At 42.6% G+C, this 21,818-nt stretch overlaps 1 protein-coding gene across 18 annotated transcripts in view; it reads right to left on the bottom strand.

The window, feature by feature from the left end:
* The window catches only part of UNC13B (unc-13 homolog B), a 243,327-nt gene that overhangs the window by 32,782 nt on the left and 188,727 nt on the right, over positions 1-21,818 (bottom strand). For 13 of the 18 annotated variants that reach the window (NM_001387551.1, NM_001371189.2, NM_001330653.3 and 10 more), the window contains 2 exons: positions 5,561-5,607; positions 2,158-2,236 (listed from right to left, as the gene is read on the bottom strand). In NM_001387551.1, coding sequence (NP_001374480.1) covers positions 2,158-2,236; positions 5,561-5,607 — 126 coding nt within the window. Of the gene's footprint in view, positions 1-614; positions 621-2,157; positions 2,237-5,560; positions 5,608-7,986; positions 8,010-18,743; positions 21,261-21,818 lie in introns of those variants that run through there. The other 5 variants (NM_001371187.2, NM_001387555.1, XM_047422600.1 and 2 more) reach the window with 3 other exon arrangements.

Below are 21,818 nucleotides of genomic sequence, written 5' to 3'. Positions count from 1 at the left end.
TGCCTTGCTAGCCACACTCTTGCACAGGGGCCCCATGTATCTGCCAAGCCCAGAGAGTTAAGTCTGAGAGCTGGGGCTGCCTTGCTAGCCACACTCTTGCACAGGGCCCATGTATCTGCCAAGCCCAAGCTTTAGGGGCAGCCCCTGGAGAGGCACATGGTTTCCTAAAGGCAGAGGACGCTGAGAAGGCAGAAGTCATAATATCAGCCTAAGCAGGAGGAACAGCTGGGAAGGGCCCAAGTGATTTGGGATGAGGATTTTGTTTGTTTGTTTGTTTGTTTGGAGACAGAGTCTTGCACTGTCGCCCAGGCAGGAGTGCAGTGGTGCGATCTCAGCTCATTGCAACTTCCGCCTCCCGGGTTCAAGCGATTCTCCTGCCTCAGCCTCCCAAGTAGCTGAGATTACAGGTACTCGCCACCACGGCTGGCTAATTTTTTTGTATTTTTAGTAGAAACAGTGTTTCACTATGTTGGTCAGGCTAGTCTCGAACTCCTGACCTTGTGATCCGCCCGCCTCAGCCTCCCAAAGTGCTGGGATTACAGGCATGAGCCACTGCAACCAGCCAGGGATGCAGACTTTTAAAGAGGATGAGAAAGGGCTCTGGAGACACTCACCATAGCCTGCGTAGAGGACAGCAGAGAAAAGAACAACATGATGTTAAAGGCTCGAAAGGGCATGAAAACTTTCAGAGGCAACTGAGAGGTTCTTCCCTATAGTCCAAAGCAGGGAGCATTTCCCAATCCACTCTGCTTCTGTCCACTAAAAACTGTCTTCAACCCAGACCACTGGCCAGGACCCAAAGCCTAGAGCACCTACTCTAAGGAGTATTATGCCATAAAGCCAAAGATAGGGCAAAAGACAGAGAGGGATAGCAAGAAATAAACTAGATACTTGCTCATGGGCAAACAGTGAGAAAGGATGAGGAAAAAAAGTAGGAAGAAGAGGAAGAAAAAAAAGAGGAGATGAGAGACATTAAGGAAAGGAAAATGGTATTGAAGAAGACATGGCATCAGAATTTATCTTCAACCAGCTAGATGAAGAGCTAGTGGAAGAAGAGGTACATTAGAAAGGAGGAGTCGGGCATGGTGGCTCACGCCTGTAATCCCAGCACTTTGGGAAGCTGAGGCAGGAGGATCACTTGAGCCCGGGAGTTTGAGACCAGCCTGGGTAACAGGGACTCCGTCTCTATAAAAAAAAAAAAAAAGAAAGAAAGAAAGAGAGAGAAAGGAGAAGATGAACAAATGGTAAGAAATAATGGAAGGGAAGAAAAATGATGAAGAGAAAATGGCAGATGATACTTTCATTCGGTCAACTAAGGAGGGAGAAACTAGTGGAGCAGGAAATGGGGAAGAGGGAAGAGGGGTGGTTAGGAAAAACAATAGATAGAATAGAGAGAAAAAAGAAAACAGAAACAGAAAATGGTAATAAGGGAAAAGGGTTCACATTTAACTGAATCCTTACACCCGATTTCTAGCTTTAGAGCTCTGAGAGAACCTGGACCTCACTTCACCCCCAACTACCCACAAGGCTACAGAAAATTCCTTGGGTTGTTTGTGCCTCAGAAGGTATGACCCAGAATGGGGCTTCTGGTCATCCTGGGAGGATGGGATGGAGGCCCTGGGATCAGCTTTAACTCTTAAGCCTGTTTCAATTCAATTCCACAAATTTTTATCATTGCCTCTCAGTGCCTGACACTAGGTTACAGAGATAGTCTCAAAAGCCTATGTCTTGAGAAGAGACTTTTGCTTGACTTCCAAGAAGGCATCAAGCTCCAGTCATGCTCATCCCATACCAAGCTCAATGATCAAGAGGTCAAGGGCTGGAGGCAATTTCCATTACAGGTCATCAAAGAAGGCTGTAGAGATACCTATAAGAGCTAGATGCCTATAGGAAGACACAAAATCCTAACTTTGAGAGCCCAAGTCACAAATATTCCAGGTAGGAGCTTGAGCTAATAAATTCAGGACTCTGACTAGGGAGTGAGGTAGAACACAGTCCCTGTGAAGCCACTGCTAAGTCTCCGAAGGCTTTAAATGATTGATCATCAGATCAATTTGAGTCATTAAATGGACGACTTCCAATCCTGACAGCTTGCCAAGGCCCAATGGGGGATACCCCAAGGCTACTGCCTATGCCTGCACAAGAGTCTTCACTCACCAGATCACTGACAAGTGGCAGTGGCTTCTTTCTGCGTAAATCTGGCATGCTGTCAATGCCATAGAGCCCTCCGGCTGGCCTGAGGAGAGAAGAAAATATGTCAGGACCGTCAGTCTTGCTTTGAGTTAGCTGGTGGGTTCAGTGTTCCATTCACCTTGCTCTCCCTCTCCCCAGAGGAAGATGAACTGACCTCTACCATGTGCTTTTAGGACGGGAAGGAAAGACAGAAAGTCAGGGAAATAAAGTCATGGAAGAGTGAGCAATAGAATCTGTTCTCACAGGACCCCTCAGTGTCTCTTACAGTTTCAGCTGAGAACTGAGGCTCTTTTATCCCAGTGATAGTTCAAGGCATTTCTATTTATTTGAAGGCACTTTTATGCTCCATAAGGCAAGGTAGGAATTGGCACTCAAGAGGGCTTCTCCCCACATTCAGGGCAAAGACACTGCTCCCCAAAGATAAGTCTTGCCAAGGCTGTGCTAGAACAGAACCCACAGGGTGGCTCTACGGCAAGAGTCTAGGTGAGTAAGACTATACCAGACAATGGCACATAGAAGGAGACCGTCTCCATCCAAGAGTAAAAGAGTCACCAGTTCTGTCTACCTAGGCCTCCTGAAGAAAAGCCTTCTCCATGGAGAAAGGAGCCCTCATAATCAAGTGTAATAGGGGAGGTGGTATGAGAGACTTCCAAAAGACCACCTAAGGGAAGAAAAAACAAAACAAAACACCATTTAGGAAGGAAACAGCAAAGGGACTGTATGAGTGTGGCCTAGCCCTATGGACACATCAACAGAGCCTGGAGAAAAATTACAGCTACAGCAGCTGGACATTTCTAAAACTTTTACACCTTTTCTATACTGATTAATTTTATTGTTCTTTTATAACAATATGCAATAAAAACAGAAAATGTACCCAAAAGAAACTACACTGAAATAACCTGGATTTTAACTCCAGTTCTTCTATTAATGTACTATGTCTTCTCCCAAAATTCCTTCTTCACTTTGGGCCTTGGTGACGCTTCTATAAAATGAGATGGATAAGCAACAAAAAACTCTCTGGCCTTAATGCAAAGAACTCATGTACTTGGTTTTAATGAGAGCAAAGACGTTGGGAAAGTTGGGTAGCTGGGCTGTATACCACGGCTGGTCTAAAGACAGAAATATCCCAACAGAAAAAGTAGGTACTTGTAGCTATCTAGGCAAAGAATGGAACCACAAATTGGGTCAAGTCCAGGAGTTGAAACAGGCCACTCAATATGCTGATTTCTAATAAAACAGCTCCCTGAACATAGGCAGTAGGCTTTGTTTTTAATGAGACTACCAGACTGAGGGAAGTTCTATACTTAGGACAGCTTCTAAGGACGAAGGTGAAAGAAAAGGAAGAAAGACAATAGGGAATCATTTAGAAAACTACTACATAGCTACATTCAGAAGTAGTCTGGATATGTCCCATTGACATGTGTGTATTTTACAATTATTAGAAGAAAAAAACTAAAGATCACTGAAGAAGCAACTGATGCCACAACTTTGTAGCTAATTCTAGAAACTACAATATGTATCTCTTAAGGCAAGAAGTTTTTTTTTTAAACATAAATGATCTTTCAATAAAAGAAGAAGGGGGTAGCTCATTCAATGATTCACCCTTGATTAAAAGAAGACAAACTAAAAAAAAAAAAAACAGATACTGACAAAGCTGCAGGGAAAAGAGAACACTTATACACTGTTGGCAGGAGTGTAAATTAGTTCAACCGTTGTGGAAAGCAGTGTGGTGATTCCTCAAAGAACTAAAAACAGAACAACCATTCGACTCAACAATCCCATTATTGGGTATATACCCAAAGGAATATACAGTGTTCTACCATAAAGACAGATGGATGAGTATGTTCGCTGCAGCATTATTCACAATAGCAAAGACATGGAATCAAGCTAAATGCCCATCAGTGGCACACTGGATAAAGAAAATGTGATACATATACACCGCAGAATACTATGTGGCCATAAAAAAGAACGAGATCATGTCCTTTGCAGGAACATGGCTGGAGCTGGAGGCCACTATTCTTAGCAAACTAATGCAGGAACAGAAAACCAAACACTGCATGTTCTCTCTTATAAGTGGGAGCTAAATGATGAGAACACATGGACACAAAGAGGGTAACAACAGACACGGGCCTACTTGAGGGTGAAGGGTAGGAGGAGGGAGAGGAGCAGAAAAAATAACTATTGTTATAGTACTTGGGTGATGAAATAATCTGTACAACAAATCCCTGTGACACGAGTTTAACTATATAACAAACCTGCACATGTACCCCTGAACCTAAAACAAAAGTTAAAAAAAATTTTTTTTTAAAGATGACAAATTGCAAGGGAAAGGAGCATGTAAAAATATAGTAGATCATCTACCTGATCTTTCTTCTTCCCTGGCCACAAGAGGAAGCAACTACTGAGACTTCTGATGTCAGAAGCCTTTGTAGGAAAAAGGGAAAAGGAAGGTCTAGATAACTAATTGGTGGTATTTGTGGGAAGGAGTGGGGAATGAGAAGGTACTTGAACTCTCTTCTCTCTTTAAGAACAGTCAGTTACAGGCTACACTGAGCAGCTTAAAATGACTCTGGTACAATCACACAGGTCTGAAACTCCCAAACAAGAAGCACGGACAGAACATACAGAGCTCAGAAAGGGGTGTTACTTATATCCTGACTACAGTGGAATGGAATAAGTAGATGACTCACAACAGCTGGAGCAGGATCAAGCCTAGGAGTAACTTAATCAGCCACACCATCAACAATGGAATGGATAGAATGAATAAGATCTAGTATTGATAGCACAGCAGGGTGACTACAGTCAACAACAATTTATTGCACATTTTAAAATAACGAAAAGAGTGTAAGTGGATTGTAACAAAAAGAAAGGATAACTGCTTGAAGTGATGGATACCCCATTTACCCTGATGTGAGTATTACACACTGTATGCCTGTATCAAAATATCTAATGTAACCCATAAATAGACACACCTAGTATGTACCTACAAAAATTAAAAACAAATGAAATGGAAAGAAAATGTTTCCAAATGCAGATATTTTTCTAATTTCCTCTTTGTTCTACTTAAAGAGTATTTCACCACTATGAAAAGATGGACCAGAAATTATAGAGGCAAGGATGAGAAGGCCCCAAAGCTCCCTCCCCTGCACCAGGGTAACCATTCTGCAAAGTTCCCTCTTCTGCCTCCAAGGAATCCATCAGCAGAGTTCTCTCCTCTGCCTCAGAGAACCAACCAACCTATAGTGGAACCTTTTCCTTCCCCAGGATGCAGCTTATGAAGCTGGTTCCCCTGCTTCCCAGGGGAAAAGCTAAAAGCATCAAGAGATACTGAATAAAATCCACAGAAACCTTGCAGTGAATTACTTACCCTTCCGGGAGCCACTGAGGCAGAGAGGGGTCACCATCATCTGGAATCTTTAAAAAGAGATAGGAAACAAGTTAGATCCTGGGAAAGATGGGAGATTGCCTGTAATCTGAGCAGCGAGCAGTAGAGTACAAGCCCAGAGCAGTGTAAGTCACATTCACCATGTGGTGACAGCCTGTCTGACATCTAAACCAATGTCCTGATCAGTCAGGGCAACAAGCAGGCTGCTGAAATGAGTGGTACCTGTCTCCTTGGTGAATAGGAGATAGGGCAAAGCTCACTGAGTTTGCAGGGCTGAAGTCTACTGGAATGGCAGAACTCATATCACTCTTATATGAGCCATTAGTGTAGACAGCAGTAAACCAAGCACAGGAGAAGGGCCTACTTAGGCTTCCAGGCCTCACTAAAGCAAAAGGACACCTTCATATAGAGTCCAGTCTTCTTCCAGCTATATTCCTAAACTCCCTTAATGTCCCAGAGTCAGACCTGGTCTCTCTGGATTCCTATCTCATTTTGTGGTTGGATTTAGTTTGGGTGCCTTGAACCTCTGACTCACTGACACTAAGTATATTCTCTCTATTTAATAAATTCTACATAACAAGAGAACCCAGGGTAGATTAGACACTTGGATTATCATTCTAGTGAATTCTATAGGCCCTAGAATGAGAAGTCGAAACTTGAGACACCAAATAATTCAAGGAAGGGAACAGTTCAAAAATCACCTTTTAAAGGTTTCTGTACCAAAAGAAAACAAAATAAACAAAAGCAAATCCTTCAAGCAGCATGCAGAAAGGTCCAAAGCTGCCAGAGTGCTCCAGAGGTCCAATAGCACATGCTTTTTTCAGGCTAACAGGTCTGGGGCTTCCTGCCCCTCCTTGTTTTCTTCCACTCCCAACAACTTCCCTGCCTCCTAACTATCCTGGAGCAAATGAGCTCCAGAAGGGAGGCAGAATTAAGGTGCTTAGCTTTGAACAGTGAGTGATGTTTTGGAGAGCTAAAGTGGGGAGAAGTTATGGATAACAATGAGGCAATACAGAGGAGAATAGGGACAGATAGGACAGAGCTAATGGTGATGGAAAAGTGAGGGAGAATTACCTGGGTCAGCAATAGGCTCACATGAATTTTGGATTTAAGACTCCTCTTAGGTTGTCTATGTTTTAATCAAGCCTATCTCCCTACGGACCAGAGCCCCCATTCCACCCCATCTGCCTCCTATCCTTTCTATAGGTAGGATGATATTGGTAATGGGAGGGCCAGGTCCAAAAGGCAGCCAGAAGTGGCTGAAGCAAAAGACAATGGGGATAGTATAGAAGAAACAACAGTAGGTGGGAAGAAACAACAGTAGGTGGGAAATAACAGAAAAGCTGCAAGTCTTCTAAGGTTGCTTATGGAAGGGGTAAGGGTTGAGTGTTGGGGAGCCAATCCCTAAATCCCCAGATCTTACCAACCAGAACTTATTTTCCCTCTGGAAATAGCCACCGTACTCAGCAGGTTCTTATTTCCTATCCAGAGTGAGATATTTGCCAGAAACCACTGGGCTTAAGGAAACAAAGTCACAAAAAGTCTGAGAACCTGGCTCAGATCATGCACATTTCCTGTGCTCAGAAGGGATAACAACATGTCTGCAAAAGCCTGCACACATAGTACACACAACTTGTGTCTGAAGGAAACACATGGTGAGCATGGATCCTAGGCTTATGGCTTCAGAACATAAGCTTCAGAGTATTCAGTGATCTGCAGAAACTCATCTGAGGAGGATTCACAGTGTTTACTATGGCCCAAATCACAGGCAAAGCAAACCCTCATGGTCTTCAAGAGCCAGTGCTTGCAAGCACAGGGCATTAGTATACTATGCATTCACATGGTTTGGGGAAACCACGTAACAGGGCTACAGAAGCCTGTGCTCAACAGAGAGGTCAGGAAGCCTGTTCAGAGCACAAGTACCTTCACACTTAGGGCCTCAGGCAAGAGGCAGGAAATGCCTGCAGCAAAGCCTGCTCTCAAATACAAAGTACACATGCGTGCTGGGCTCAGCCAAGGTTTTACAGCATATGCCAGAGTTTGCAGCAACAGGTAGAAAATGGACACACACTGAGCTGAGTAGGAGAAAAGGAGGGTAATCAGTGTCTGGGGGAGTCAAACTGAGTATAAGCACACACATGCTACATTGAATGCACACCCATGCTGGTGCACACACATTCTCGCAGTGTGCTCCAGGGATATCTGCAGGAGCACACACAAGCAAGGAGCATGCACACAAACTGCTTTTCAGAAAAATAGACTGCATGAGCCAAAGCTCAGAGGCACAGATCATGCACGCACATGTGCATGTACACACACACACACACATACACACACACATACAGTGCTTGGGAAGGAGGGGAGGGAAATAGACAAAAAAGGACGACCCAAAGGGTCATAGGCACAACCTGAAGGGCTCCTCGCTTTTCTTCTGCAAGGAGAGAAAGAGCAGAAAAAAGGGCAGAAAGGTTAGTAGAGTCAGTCCTATAAGTAGGGAACCCAAAGAAAATGCCAGCTAAACTCCAAGGGACATGGAAGAGAGGGAGAGGTCCTCGGGACAACTAGGCAGTTCATAGAGCCCAGCTGACTGGCTTCCAGAATCCTTCCTGCCTGTATTTGCTGGCCCAGGATTTTTAGTTTGGAACATCCCTGGAGATGTTCCAAACTAAATCAAGGGACAAAATCTACCCAGGGGTTCCAGTCATCCTTTTCCCATTTCCAAAGTGGCCTGCATCAAGGGTCAGGGCTGCCAAGGTTGCAAGACCAGATTTGTTACCAATGACCACTCCAACAGACTATCTAAGCTGGCTGAGCACAGAGTGATTTCCTTCCTCAGAAGCCACGTGAGCTTATTCTAGATCTGGTATAAGTCCTCAAACTCCAAAGGCCCTGGTGACTGAGCCTTTTCCATTTTGCAATGCAGGCTTGGCCATGCATTCACTCAATGAGCTCTGGCCCGTTTCTCGGACCTGAAATTAAGTTGGACCAGGGTAGGGCCTGGAGTTAAGTCCAGGACCAGGATGCTGAATGGCTACAGGCCTGGGGGCATCGACTGGCTGCTTTCCTAATAGAAATCACAGTGATCTAGATGATAAAACCATGACTGCAATCCCAAATCTGATTATTTATCAAACCCAGGACAATACTCTAAAGGAAACTGACACTTCCAGAAGGGCCCGATCAAGCCATAACAGGATAAAAATAAAGCCCAGAGATTACTCCTTTCCTATTCATCAGAGACTACATTGCCTTCTAGGCCATACATGGATAGGCCCACAGGCTTCCTTCTGTAAGGAAAGTCCACCCACCTTGGTCCATTAGTGCCCCTCCATTTTCTTTTCTCTTTTAAAGGCCCATTGATGTCACATCACAAGTAGAGGGGAGAATTCAAGAATCGAATTCACAGGTTCCCAATTTTTCAAGCTATTTCTGCTTACTTAATGGGTCACCTGTCCTGGACTAGGTGACAAGGAATCCTCCAAAACAGTGCAGCTCCAGGAAGGTGGGAAAGATGAGAAAGACACTCCCTGGAATGGGGACATATCTCTTCCATATCTACATCTCAACCCCCCCAGGATAATGTGTTCCTTTTGAGTAAGAAAATTAGGCAAACAATCCTTTAACTGACCCCATGACTCAAACTGGAAATGTACCTCTCCCCCTTCACTATCTTAAATATATTCTACAACCATGTCAAAGTTGATTGTGTCCTTCTGTTCTCCACAGGTTTCCCCATAATGCCTAAAGATTAAAATCAAATCAATCCATTGACAGAGCCGTCACGGCTCTCCATGATCTGGCCCAAATCCCCAAATTCCTCTCCTCTGCCCTCTTTCTTGACCCCATATACATTCCTACAATCTAATTGTCTTGTTTCACAAAGACGTCACATACTCAAAACCCCAAATTTTTATTTACTCATTCTGTTCCATTAGCCTGAAATAGCATCTCACACCTCCTTTCCATAGAGGAAAATCCAACTCTTCCTCCAAGGCATAGTTCTGGGAAGCCTTCTCTGATGCCCACCCAAGCAAGAGTTAATAAGGCCATCCTAGTGCACCTAAGTTACATTCATCCTTCTCATTGGTATTTAACACATAATGCCTTGACAAGTCCCACCATTGTACAGATGAGAACCAGAGCAAATAGATGCAGATTTTTTTTTTTTTTTTTTTTGAGACGGAGTCTCGCTCTATTGCCCAGGCTAGAGTGCAGTGGTGCGATCTCGGCTCACTGCAAGCTCCACCTCCTGGGTTCACACCATTCTCCTGCCTCAGCCTCCCAAGTAGCTGGGACTACAGGCGCCCACCACCATGCCCAGCTAATTTTTTGTATTTACAGGGTTTCACTGTGTTAGCCAGGATGGTCTTGATCTCCTGACCTTGTGATCCGCCCACCTCGGCCTCCCAAAGTGCTGGGATTACAGGCGTGAGCCACCACGCCCCGCCCTAGATGCAGATTTTTAACTTCAACTGGGCCCTCTGTGTCACTTGATAAGTCTCTTCTTCCATTAGTCAGCTCCCTCTTCCACTTCTCAAAGGAGTTATACCTAACCTTCAGATACCTACTTTATCACAACACATTAACCACTGCTTAGTGTGTATCACCTAGATATCGCATGCTTAGTTCAAATTCAACATATCCAAACACTAAACTTCTATCTTCCATCTCTAAACGTCTCCTCCTGTCCCCAGCCAGACAATGGATCTCTCCCTCTCTGCACTCTGTCCCTATCCAATCACTCAGCCCTGTACTTTTTACCTCCTAAATATCTCTGGCATCCACTGCTGCCTTTCCATTTCACACTGCCACTATCATCTCTTAACTGGACTATAACAGGAGACTCCAAGCTGATCTCTCTGCCACTAGACTTGCTCCTCTCCAATCCATACTCCACATTTCCCATTTCGAAATTCTGATCGCATTTTTTTCTTTGCTTAATTGCATCAATTCTCCCCGTTGCTTACTGTAGCACATAAAGTGCTTCAAGATTTGTACTTCCCCTACCGTTCTAGCTTACTTTCCTTCCGCTCCTCACGTGTCCTGTATTCAAGTCTTACTGAACATTCTCCATCACATCTGAGACTTTTCACACCTCCCTCCCACACCCAGCCTACTGGGTGGACTCAGGCATATTCCCTAAGACTTAGTTCAAATACTAATGACTCTGTGAAATTTCTGTCTGCTTTCCTTCCCAAGGTAGGATTAAGTGCCTCTCCACTAGCTGCCCTGGTCTCCACCATTCTATGTCCACACTTCTAAGACAGTATGTTGTTAATACTGTTTTGTAGTATCATATATTGTAGTTGTCTGTATAAACATCTTCCTTTATAATATTTCTCACTTTATACTACTTCTTCAGAAAAAAGGATTATATATTATTTCACCTTTGTAGCCTGAGGGCTTAGCACATCGCCTATCATTTCTATGTAGTAAAAGAAAACTATAACTTTCAGGACTTAGAAAACAACAGCTATTCTAAGAAGTGTCTCTTGCCCAACCAGAGAAGGTATAAGTCTCTTAACCAGTAGTCTGTACCATTTTCCAGACCCTGAGGAACTGCTATACTGGCTATTCAGTTTGTCCTACCCGTTGGACAAACATTAAAAAACAACTTTTTTTCTTAAGAATCAAACTTTCTGTGCTTCCCAACTCCCTAAAATGCCTTAGGATTTTTCCACTTAGATTTAGTTTGCAGGTTAAGTTATAAATGTCTACAAAACAACTGCTTTGCAGGAAAATCCCTGACCCCCTAAGAATGATCTCTCTCACTGTTCCAGACAGTCCATTTTATAAGGAAGTGACATACCTCCTCATCAGCACTCCCCTCAGTATACCCAATAATACAATCTTAACTCCATTATTGAGAGTCAAAAGACTTGAGACGTTCAACTTATTTGAGCCTACATTTCCTTAACTATAAAAAGATAGGTATATGAACAACTACCTCCCAGGGTTATTGCAAGGATTCATTTCTTAAGAACCTATTATACTAAGGGCTGGTCATGGTGGCTCATGCCTATAATCCCAACACTTTGGGAGACTAAGGCAGGAGGAAGGATAGCTTGAGGTCAGGAGCTCAAGACCAGCCTGGGTAACAAAGTGAGACCCCCATCTCTACAAAACATGAAAAAAATAGCTGGGTGTGGTGGCATATGCCTGTAGTGGTGGCATGTGCCTGCACGTGCAGTGCAGCTACTTGAGACTGGGGTGGGAGGATCCATTGAGACCAGGAGATCAAGGCTGCAGTGAGCTCTGATCACTCCACTGCACTCCAGCCTGGGTGACAGACTGAGACTCTGTCTTTCAAAAAAAATTTTTAACTAAAAAAATTTTAAAAGAACCTAATGTGCACACTAGGCACTGTTCTCAATCAGTGCTGGTGATGTGGCAGTGAATGACACAAACTCCCTGATCCTGAAAAGCTTTTATTTTAGTAAGAGGAGCAGATAATAAACAATGATGAAGATGATGACAGTAGCTGATACTAATCAAACACTTATTTTGTATCTGGCATTTTATTTGGGTAAGCTCATTTATTTCTCACAACTCCACACTGGGTAAATACCATTATTACCTCCACTTCTTTGATAATTAAATTGAAGATCAGAGAGGTTAAGCAAGATGCCAGCAAGTGGCAAAGCCAAAATTCCTAACAGACATTCTTGTTCCAGGGTCTGCTTTCCATAAGAAATAACAATATACTATGTCACATGTGATAGGAACTTGGCTGAAAAATTCAGATAAGGGAAAAAGATAATGCCCCCTGATGATGGAGGTAGAGTTGTTATTAAAAATCCAAAAAATGGTTGTTAGGGCGGCCTCACTGATAGGTGATATCAAAGCAGACTTGAAAGAAATGAGTAAAGAAGCCATTTGGAGTTCTGGGAAAAAGTATTTTCGGAAGAACATATAGCAAATGCAAAGCCTGAGGTGAGAGCATAATTGGTGTGGAGAAACAGCAAATTTGCAATAAAGTACCAGTTCAAATAGGGCTCTACAGGCCTTTATAAGAATGCTGGTGTCCATTCTGAGTGAGACAGGAAATCATTGAGCAGAGAGGTGATATAACCTGACTCATGCTCTATGGGGATTACTCTGATTGTTGTGAGGAGAACAGACTGTAGAGGGACAAGGTTCTAGAAGCAGGGAGAGCAGTGAGACCACTGCAGTAATCTAGATGAGAGAAAATGGTGGCTTAAACAAGGATGACAGTGGTGGAGGTAGAGATAATGGCAAGATTCAAGATATTTTTTAAAAGTGGAGGAAGTGGAATTTACTAACGGACTGAATACAGGTTGTGAGAGAGAAGGGAGAGTCAAGAATGACTCTATGGATTGGGCCTGAATAGCTGCAAGAATAAAGATGCCACTCATGGGTAAGAAAGACAATAGGAAAGGCAGGTTTGGCAGGGGCTTCAGAAGAAGGATCAGGAGTTTGGCTTTGGATATGTCAAATGAGATGCCTATTTACATCCATAAGGAGGTGTTACGTGGATTTGGAGTCTGGTGTTCATGGAAGATGTTTGGGTTGGAGATATAAACCTGGGAATGCTTATGAAACTCGGGATTGAAAGATTATCATCTAGGAAGTGAGCATAGGAAGTCAAGATTGAATCCCAGGATGCTACAAGGTTGGGGAGAGGAAGAGCAAAGATAACTAAGAAGGAATGGCCAGTAATGTTGGGGGAGAGGAGGAAACCAAGACAGAGAGGTGTTCTGGAAGCCAAATGAAGAAAGTGTTTCAAAAAGAAGGAATTGAGCACAAGAACAGACTGAATATCAATAGAATAGAATTGAGTCCAGACATAAACTCTTACATTTATGGTCATTGATTTTTGACAAGAGTGGTAAGACTATTCAATGAAAAAAGAATAATCTTTTCAACAAATCATTCTGGGACAACTAGATACCCATATGCACAAGAATAAAGCTGGACTCCTACCTCATACTATGCACAAAAATTAACTCAAAACTGGCTGGGCGTGGTGGCTCAAGCCTCTAATCCCAGCACTTTGGGAAGCCAAGGTGGGAAGATCACTTCAGGTCAGGAGTTCGAGACCAGCCTGGCCAACATGGTGAAACCTCCTCTCTACTAAAAATACAAAAAATTAACCAGGCTTCGTGGTGGATGCCTGTAATCCCAGCTAGTCTACTCAGAAGGCTGAGGCAGAAGAATTGCTCGAACTCAGGAGGCGGAGGTTGCTGTGAGCCGAAATCACGCCACTGCACTCCAGCCTGGGCAACAGAGCAAAACTCCGTCTCAAAAAAAAAAAAAAAAAAAAATCATAGACCTAAATATAGGAGTAAAAACTATAAAACTCATAAAAAAAATAGGAGCAAATCTTTCTGACTTCAGATTAACCAATGATTTCTCAGCTATGACACCAAAAGCACAATCAAAACAAGAAAAAAATGGATAAATTGCACTTCACCAAAATTTAAAACTTTTGTGCTCTACTTCATACCCATTACAATGGCTATTACTTAAAAAAAACAAAACAGAAAATAACAAGTGTTGAAGAAAATGTAGAGAAATTGGAAGGAACCCTTGTGCCCTGATGGTGGGAACGTAAAACGGTGCAGCCACCATGGAAAATGGTATGGTGATTCTTCAAAAAATTAGAATTACCATAAAATTTGATCAATCCACTTTGGGGTACATAGCCAAAAGACTGAAAGCAGGGACTCAAAAAATATTTGTATACCACTGTTTATAGCAGCATTGTTCACAATAGCCAAAAGGTGGAAGCAATGTGTGTCCTGATGAGTGAACAGATAAATAAAATGTGATACATGTGTACAATGGAATACGATGCAGCCTTAAAAATTCCAGAGTGAAATTTCAGAGTGAAATTCTGACACATTACAACATAGATGAACCTTGAGGACATTACGCTAAGTGGAATAAGCCAGTCATAAAAGGACAAATGTTATTTGATTCCACTTACATGAGGTACTTAGATCAATCAAATTCATAGAGACAGAAAGTAGAGTAGTGGTTGCCAGGGACTGGGGTGAGATGGGATGAGGAGTTACTATTTAATAGGTATAGAGTTTCAGTTTTGCAAGATGAGAAGCATTCTGGAGATGAACGGTGGTTGCAGAACAATACGAATGTACTTGATGTTATGGAACTATATATTTTTAAATGGTTAAAATGTTCCACATAATATTCAGAAAAAACATGGTTTAAATAACACATTTTATGTTATGTATATTTTACCACAAAAAATTGTTTTTTGATTTTTAGTAAAGACAAGGTCTCACTATGTTGGCCAGGCTGGTCTCAAATTTCTGAGCTCAAGTGATCCTCTCGCCTCGGTCTCCCAAAGTGCTGGGATTACAGACATGAGCCAACAGACCTGGCCAATAGAATTTAAAAAAAAAAAAAAAAACAATAAAAAAATGTATGCTTCAAAGGACACTGTCAAGAAAGTGAAAAGACAACCCACAGAATGAGAGAAAATATTTACAAATAATATATCTGATAAGGGACTTATATCCAGAATATATAAAGAATTCTTACAGCTCAAAAACAAAACGAAAAAAAACCTCAATTTAAAAGTGGTCCAAGGCTTAAATAGACATTACTCCAAAGAAGATAGAAAAATGGCTGATGAGCACATGAAAAGATGCTCAACATCATTAGTCACTAGAGAAACACAAATCAAAACCACAATGAGACACCACTTCATATCCACTAGGATGGCTATAATAAAAAAGATAATAACAAGTGTTGCCAAGGATGTAGAGAAATTAGAACCTTCATATGTTACGGGTGGGAATGTAAATACTGCAATGACTTTGGAAAACAGTCTGGCAGTTCCTCAAATGGTAAACAGAATTACCATATGACCCAGCAATTTTACTTCTAGGTAAATACCCAAGAGAATTGAAAATATAGTTCCATAGAAAAACTTGTATACAAATGTTCATAGCAGCATTATTCATAATAAGCAAGAAGTGGTAATAATAACTCAAATGTCCGCCAACTGATGGATTTAAAAAATGTCCATCAATAAATATTGTTCAGCCAGAAAAAGAAATGAAGTACTGATACATGCTACAGCATCCTTAAAAACATCATGCCAGACACAAAAGGGCACATATTTTATAAACCCATTTATATGAAATGTACATAATAGGCAAATTCATAGAAACAGGAAGTAAATTAATGGTTGCCAGAGGCTGGGGGCAAAGAGAAGTGGGGAGTGACTGCCAATGGGTAAGAGGTTTCTTATGGGGTGATGGAAATGTTCTGAAATTAGATGGTGATGATGTCTGCATAACTATGAATAAACTAAAAACCATTCGATTCAATACTTTTTAAGGGACTTTAAGGTGAATTTTATGGCACATGAATTATAACTCAATAAAGCTGTTATAATAAAAAGAGGAAAGTGATCATCAACTGTGTCAAATTGCTGACTGATAAAAAGAAGACTGAAAATGAACCATTAGTTTGGCAATATGGTGGACATCTAATGGCCCTGATCAAAGCTATTTTGGTGGAGTGACAGGAATAAAAGAATTGAATTTTATACAATGCACATGAGAGTACTTAAAACAGTACCTGGCACATACCAAGAAAAAAAAGATGAAAACTAACTCAAATTAATCATAAGCTACAACTAGTAAGCTTAGGGCCTAAAAGATCCCAAGCAGAACAGTAAAGAAAGCAGAGTTTTCAAAAGCTTCGTTATGCTGGTAGTCTCTGTGATACTGAATCAGTTTACTAGGTTAGGGGACTGCTCCAGTGAAGTCTATGTTGGTGAGAGTCTGGCCTGTGTGCTTGTCCTGCTCTATGCAAGGGAGTGCTGGAGCACCCTGTCCATGATTCTGTCTGCAGCCCTCAGGCCAGACTGAGTACTGAGTCTTGGATAGGACCCAGAACTGTGACTTGCTTTCTTATTGGTGCTTTAGAAAACCTCCTTCTATTCATCAAGACTGCTGCTACTACCACCTGCCTACCATGGCACCACAAGTTTCTGCATTGCCTAGAAGGATGCAGCCCAGAAAGGAAACTCTGCAAGCTGAAGAGTTAGACACAAGTGTCCTCATCATTGGTGCTCATGCTAACATCAGCTCCCACCAATATTTAAAGAGCTTGTAAGAAGTATTGCTTTGATATTTGTTGTTTCTATTGTTGCTGTGCTGAAATAATTTCTCATTGCCTGGGAAGAAGAAAAAGAGGCTGCAAAGTTATGAAGACAGAGAAATCCCTCACAGCTGAGAAATTACTGCCTCAGAAAGCTTCCTGGAAGAGGTGATATATGTTGAAGAATAGGTAAATTCTGCTAGGTTGAAATGGCAAACATAGCATTTTATGTTAGAAGGAAGCATGTATATATGAATGTATTAAGAATAGAAAGTGCAAGGCAAATTTGTATGACAGCAAAGCTTCCTTTTGAAAGACTTATGGTGGGACAATGGGAGATAAGCCTGGAAATATAAACTAGAGACCAATTGCAGTGACCTTGAATGCAAAGTGAAGGAATTTAGACTCTTTTTGATAAGTTCTAAGAAGGAGCTCTAGGGAAATTTGAAAAGAGAATGACGTAATTTTCATTTTTTAAATGTAACTTTATGGCTTAGTATTATATTCATATGATTCAAATTCTAAAAATTAAAAGAAGGCACACAGAGAAAAATCTCCCTCCCATTCCATTTGTTCACCTAATACATTTCCCCATGGGCAACAATGTATCCGTTTCTTACATATCTTTCATTAGATAATCTATACATATACAAGCAGACATTATAAGTGTGTGTATTGTATTCTTTCCCTCTTTTTATACAAATGAAAGCATCTTATACATACTGCTCTGCACTTTGCTTTTTTTTGTATGTCAATATATCTTAGATAACTTTCCATTTCAGTAAAGAGCTACCACATTCTTTTTATAGCTACACAGTACTATATCCCATTGTTTGGACGTGCCAATAATTTATTTAACCAGTAATTCCTGATGAATTTTTAGGTTATTTTTAATCTTTGCTATTAAAAGCTATGCTTCAAAAATAGCCTTGTCCATATGTCACTTCCACATGTGAAAATGTGTCTGCAGGATACATTCCTGTAAGTGGTGTTGAGGACTTAAAGGGTATATATATATTTGTAATTTTGATAAATTTTGCCAATTACCTTCCTTAGAGATTATGCCAATTTATACTCCCATCCCACCAGCAACGTACAAGTGCATATTCCCTCACACCTTTGCCAACACAATATGCTTCACAATTTAGATGTTGCCTTAGGAAGATTAATCAGGTTATATGCATAAGAGGACAACCCCATTTAAATTTAAAACTGGATGAATATAGCATATGCTCTTTGGATAAATTTAATTTTGATTGGGAAGAGTAATTTTAAAGCTACATATCTCCAAACTGCCTAGAAAAATGTTCTCTTACTTCCTGTAGTCAAAAAACATTCCATTTGCCAGCTTGCAGGTGAGCAGCTTTTAGGGGGAGATGGAAGAAAGGGAATAAGACCTGTGGAGGGCAACGTTGGGCTCTAGGGCTAGGTCAGCACTATAAGCAGCTCCTGGATGCCCCAAATCAGAAATAAGGTTCTGTGTCAGCAAGTCAGGTACTAGGAAGAGACAGGTACCTGGGGTAGGGGAAATTCCCACAGGGGCCTATGAGAGAAGCCCCATCAGCTACTGGGGAAATGGCAATCTTATCTCAGCAACAAATCCACAGAGAAGAATTTTTAAATGCAACACAGGATTCTTTCTCAGCCCTTCTAGTGCCTGTGAGCAAATATGTGTCATCCCCAACTCCTGCCTCTCACTCCCACCCCTTCTTTACATCTGATATCCTAAAAGCTCTGCAGCTGCAAACTACTTCTGCTCCAGATGCTCCTCCCTCTTTTGAACAGGTATAGCACCACAACAAGAGACTGGAAGATAAGGACGGCTTCCTCTTGCTTGAGAACCCTCTTTAACTCCAATTCAAGCTTCCTCTTGCTTGAGAACCATCTTTCACTCCAATTCCCACAGGATTAGCTTAAGCTCTCTACTTGAGTAATTTAGCCTGATTCAAGCTATGGACGTCAACCAACACCTTATTAAACTGGCCACCACACCAGGTCTCATGCTGGCCAGATGGAGGTCATACTTTAGCCAGCTGGGACCCTGTTAAATAGTGACTCAGAATACCTGAGTGTATGTCTTCTACTGAGAGACGGTTTGCCTTCTGTACTAGCTCATGCAGAAGTTTTTTCTGCCTTAGTCTTTTCTCTCTTAGAACATTCTTAAAATTGTTGATGCACTTGTTGAGGTAAACGGTCTCTGTACACACTTGCTCTAGGCTCAGTCTGCCCTGCTTGGGAGATCCAGGCCTGGAACAAGTCTCACTTCCCAGACATGGAGCCAGAGCAACACTTGGCAAGGAGTTATTAGAAGCAAGAGAGAAGGTGCTTGGATCCTGAGGGGTTTGCTCTCCCTGTGTGGAGACGCCAACTCCACCAGAGACCACACTGAGCAAGCTTTCACTCCCCTGACTCCCAGGGCTCTCCAGTGAGCAATCCTGGGCACCCCCTGAACTCACTGTCCCAAGAAGTCGATCACTGTTCTCTGACTGGGAACCACTCTCATTGCTTTCCAGGTCCTCAGGACTGATGGACCCACTGTTCTCCAGCTTCTGAAACACACCCTGCAGAGCAGAACGAAAGTGGTGAATTGCTCGGCCCAGTTTACTTGTATAAAACTTGATTTCCACATCCTCATCCTCCTGAGAGCCACCCAGAACACAAGAGGACTTGTCAAAGACATCCTTGAGGACGTGAGCAGCACATTCCTCCTCTTCATTCAGGTCAATATGAACCATGTCACTGAAAGTCTCAGGCCCTATGATAATTTCCTCCATCATGCTGTCACAGCTCAGAGCTGCAAGCCTTCTGGACTTGTCTGCCAAAAGGTCCTCTAGTTCCTTTGAGCTCAGAATATCGAGCCCAGCTTCGCAGCCCAGGAGCTTGTCCTCTGCGTTTATTCTCTCTGTCTTCAGTAACCCAGACAATGACAGGCAGCTGCTGGCCTCACTTTTATCGTGGCAGTCATTTTCTGGTTTTCCTACTTTACATGCTTCATGTTTTTGGCTGTACTGTTTGAAAAACTGGGACTTCCCAGAAGCCTCCTCTTTTGAGATTAATACTAGGGCAGGTTCCTCAAACTGATGGGGGGTAGACAGAGAAGCCTTTTTCTCTGACAGTTCATCACAGCTGCCACTGATAACTTGAGATGTTCTTGATGCTCCTTTTATTTCATCCCCTAGCTTGGGCACATCACTTTCCTTTGATAAATTGTTCTTGAGTAGAAAGCAAGGGCCTTGCTGCTCAGGGGCCTGGTGCTCTCTCTGTTGATCCTGAGCCTTCATCTGATATGTTCCTGTTATGGGTCCCCTGTCCCCTGTTTCCATCTGAAGAACTGGTTCATCCTGGTTTAAAGAAGTCTGACTATAATCCTGATGTTGTTGTTGAAAAAATGATATAGACTCCTTCTGGGGATTCTTATTACCCTGTGGGCAGCTTGGTTCTTCTCTGGTGGCAATTCGGACTCCCACATTCTGCAAGAGGATGGATTTCTGCAAGATGAAGTCTCTATGCTCTAGATGGGCAAGCTTCACAACAGTGGGCCTAGGGGAAGGGGATGTGCCTGCCCTGTAAGCCTTTTTAATGTACCTGTTGCACTGCATGCCATTAACACAAAGGTGCTTGGCTAGAAAGCTTTCCACCAGTTCCATAGTATTTTCTCCATCTTGTTCAGGAAGTCCGTACAAATACAGAATGGCTTCCTCACTGGGTCTGTCCACGTGGGGTTCCTGGGCCTTTTCACCCTCACACACCTTGGCCAGGGAACAGGTGCTCACCTGTAAGCCTTCTATTTCACTCAGTACTGAGTCTACACAGCTAGAGACTTCATCCACGGAACCCTGGACTTGGCTCAAGTGCTGCTGCAGCTCAGCAATCTCAGTCTGAAGACGGCTGATGCCTTGCAGCTCTCTGATGATGTATTCTACTACATCCCCCAAAGGTTCCCGCTGTTCACGGCTACAGCCTTGGCCATGGCCTCTGGACAAAAGGGTCTTGGTTTGGTTCCTCTCTGAGGGCTCCTGACAGCTTGTGGTAATGCTGACAGATGAGGGATCCTGAGAACCAGACCCTGAAACATAGGCAGTGGAGCCCAGAGGAAGCTGGCTGTTGTTCTGCTGCCCAAAGCTGCAAAGCTGGGCCAGGTCCCCATCTCTATCTCCACCAATGGCTAAGGCTGCTGACCCACAGCAAGGGGGCAGGGAGTTGTCCTCTGGTAAGGATCCAGCAGGGCCAGAGGATTTGCTCTTGGTGCCACACATGGTCTCTGCCTTAGCCTTATCTGGGGAAAGCCTGGAGGAGGGTCCCAAGGTAACCATGATTTCTTCCTCTGACTCTTGCAACAATCGCTTCATTTTCTCCCTCAGGGTTTGAGGGGTTCTCTGCTTCTTCCTCTTATTTCTGGTCAGGATGCTTAATAGAGATTACCTTGGAAGGCAACAGCCTGTCCTGCTCTTTTCAGTTTGTTTCTAGCAATTATTGCTGGCTGATGCTTTGGGCTTAGCCCACAGTGCTGCCTGGAATGGCCCCATGTGTGGCCTCCAAACCTCGCACATGCCCCTGGATCCTGGCTTGATTTATCCTGTAGCTAGTGAAAAAGGAAAATAGTGCACTCAGGTCAGAAAGTAGCAGGATGATTTTAGTTTGAATCAAGTTGTCAAGCAGGAATAAAAACATTATCTCCTAAGATTATAGGAATCAACCCTGACCTGCCTCCCAACCCCAGTCTTAAAGGCTATGGGCAGTCAGTTGTTTCTCATTAGCTTCCCCTTAGAGTATCAATGTAAAATTAAAATAAAGTCCTTGTGTTCTGGGCAAGTACCCAAAGTCAACGATATTGAGACAAGCTGCTGGGAGGTAGATGAAGTAAGGTCAATGAGTAAGTCCTTATTTGAACTTTCACAAAATTCAGTACTAGGAGTCTGGCTCAGAAATAAACAAACAAATGCTTAACCACCAAGGCTCAAATCACATACACAGTGAAAGACAAGACATGGAATGTTTCTTTCTTTCTTTCTTTTCCAGTTTGTTGTTCTGGTGAAGACTCCACTTACTCAAAAGTTTACCCCTGCCTGTGCTTATAGCACAAAGTATTTTCCCTTTGTTGAGTGATGGCAACCGTTCACTTGGAGAAAGGACAATGGTT

Source organism: Homo sapiens, chromosome 9 (genome assembly GCF_000001405.40).
Source record: "Homo sapiens chromosome 9, GRCh38.p14 Primary Assembly".
Lineage (NCBI taxonomy): Eukaryota > Metazoa > Chordata > Mammalia > Primates > Hominidae > Homo > Homo sapiens.
The sequence above is the reverse complement of the archived record's forward strand: the minus strand, read 5'-3'. Positions and strand labels throughout refer to the sequence as shown.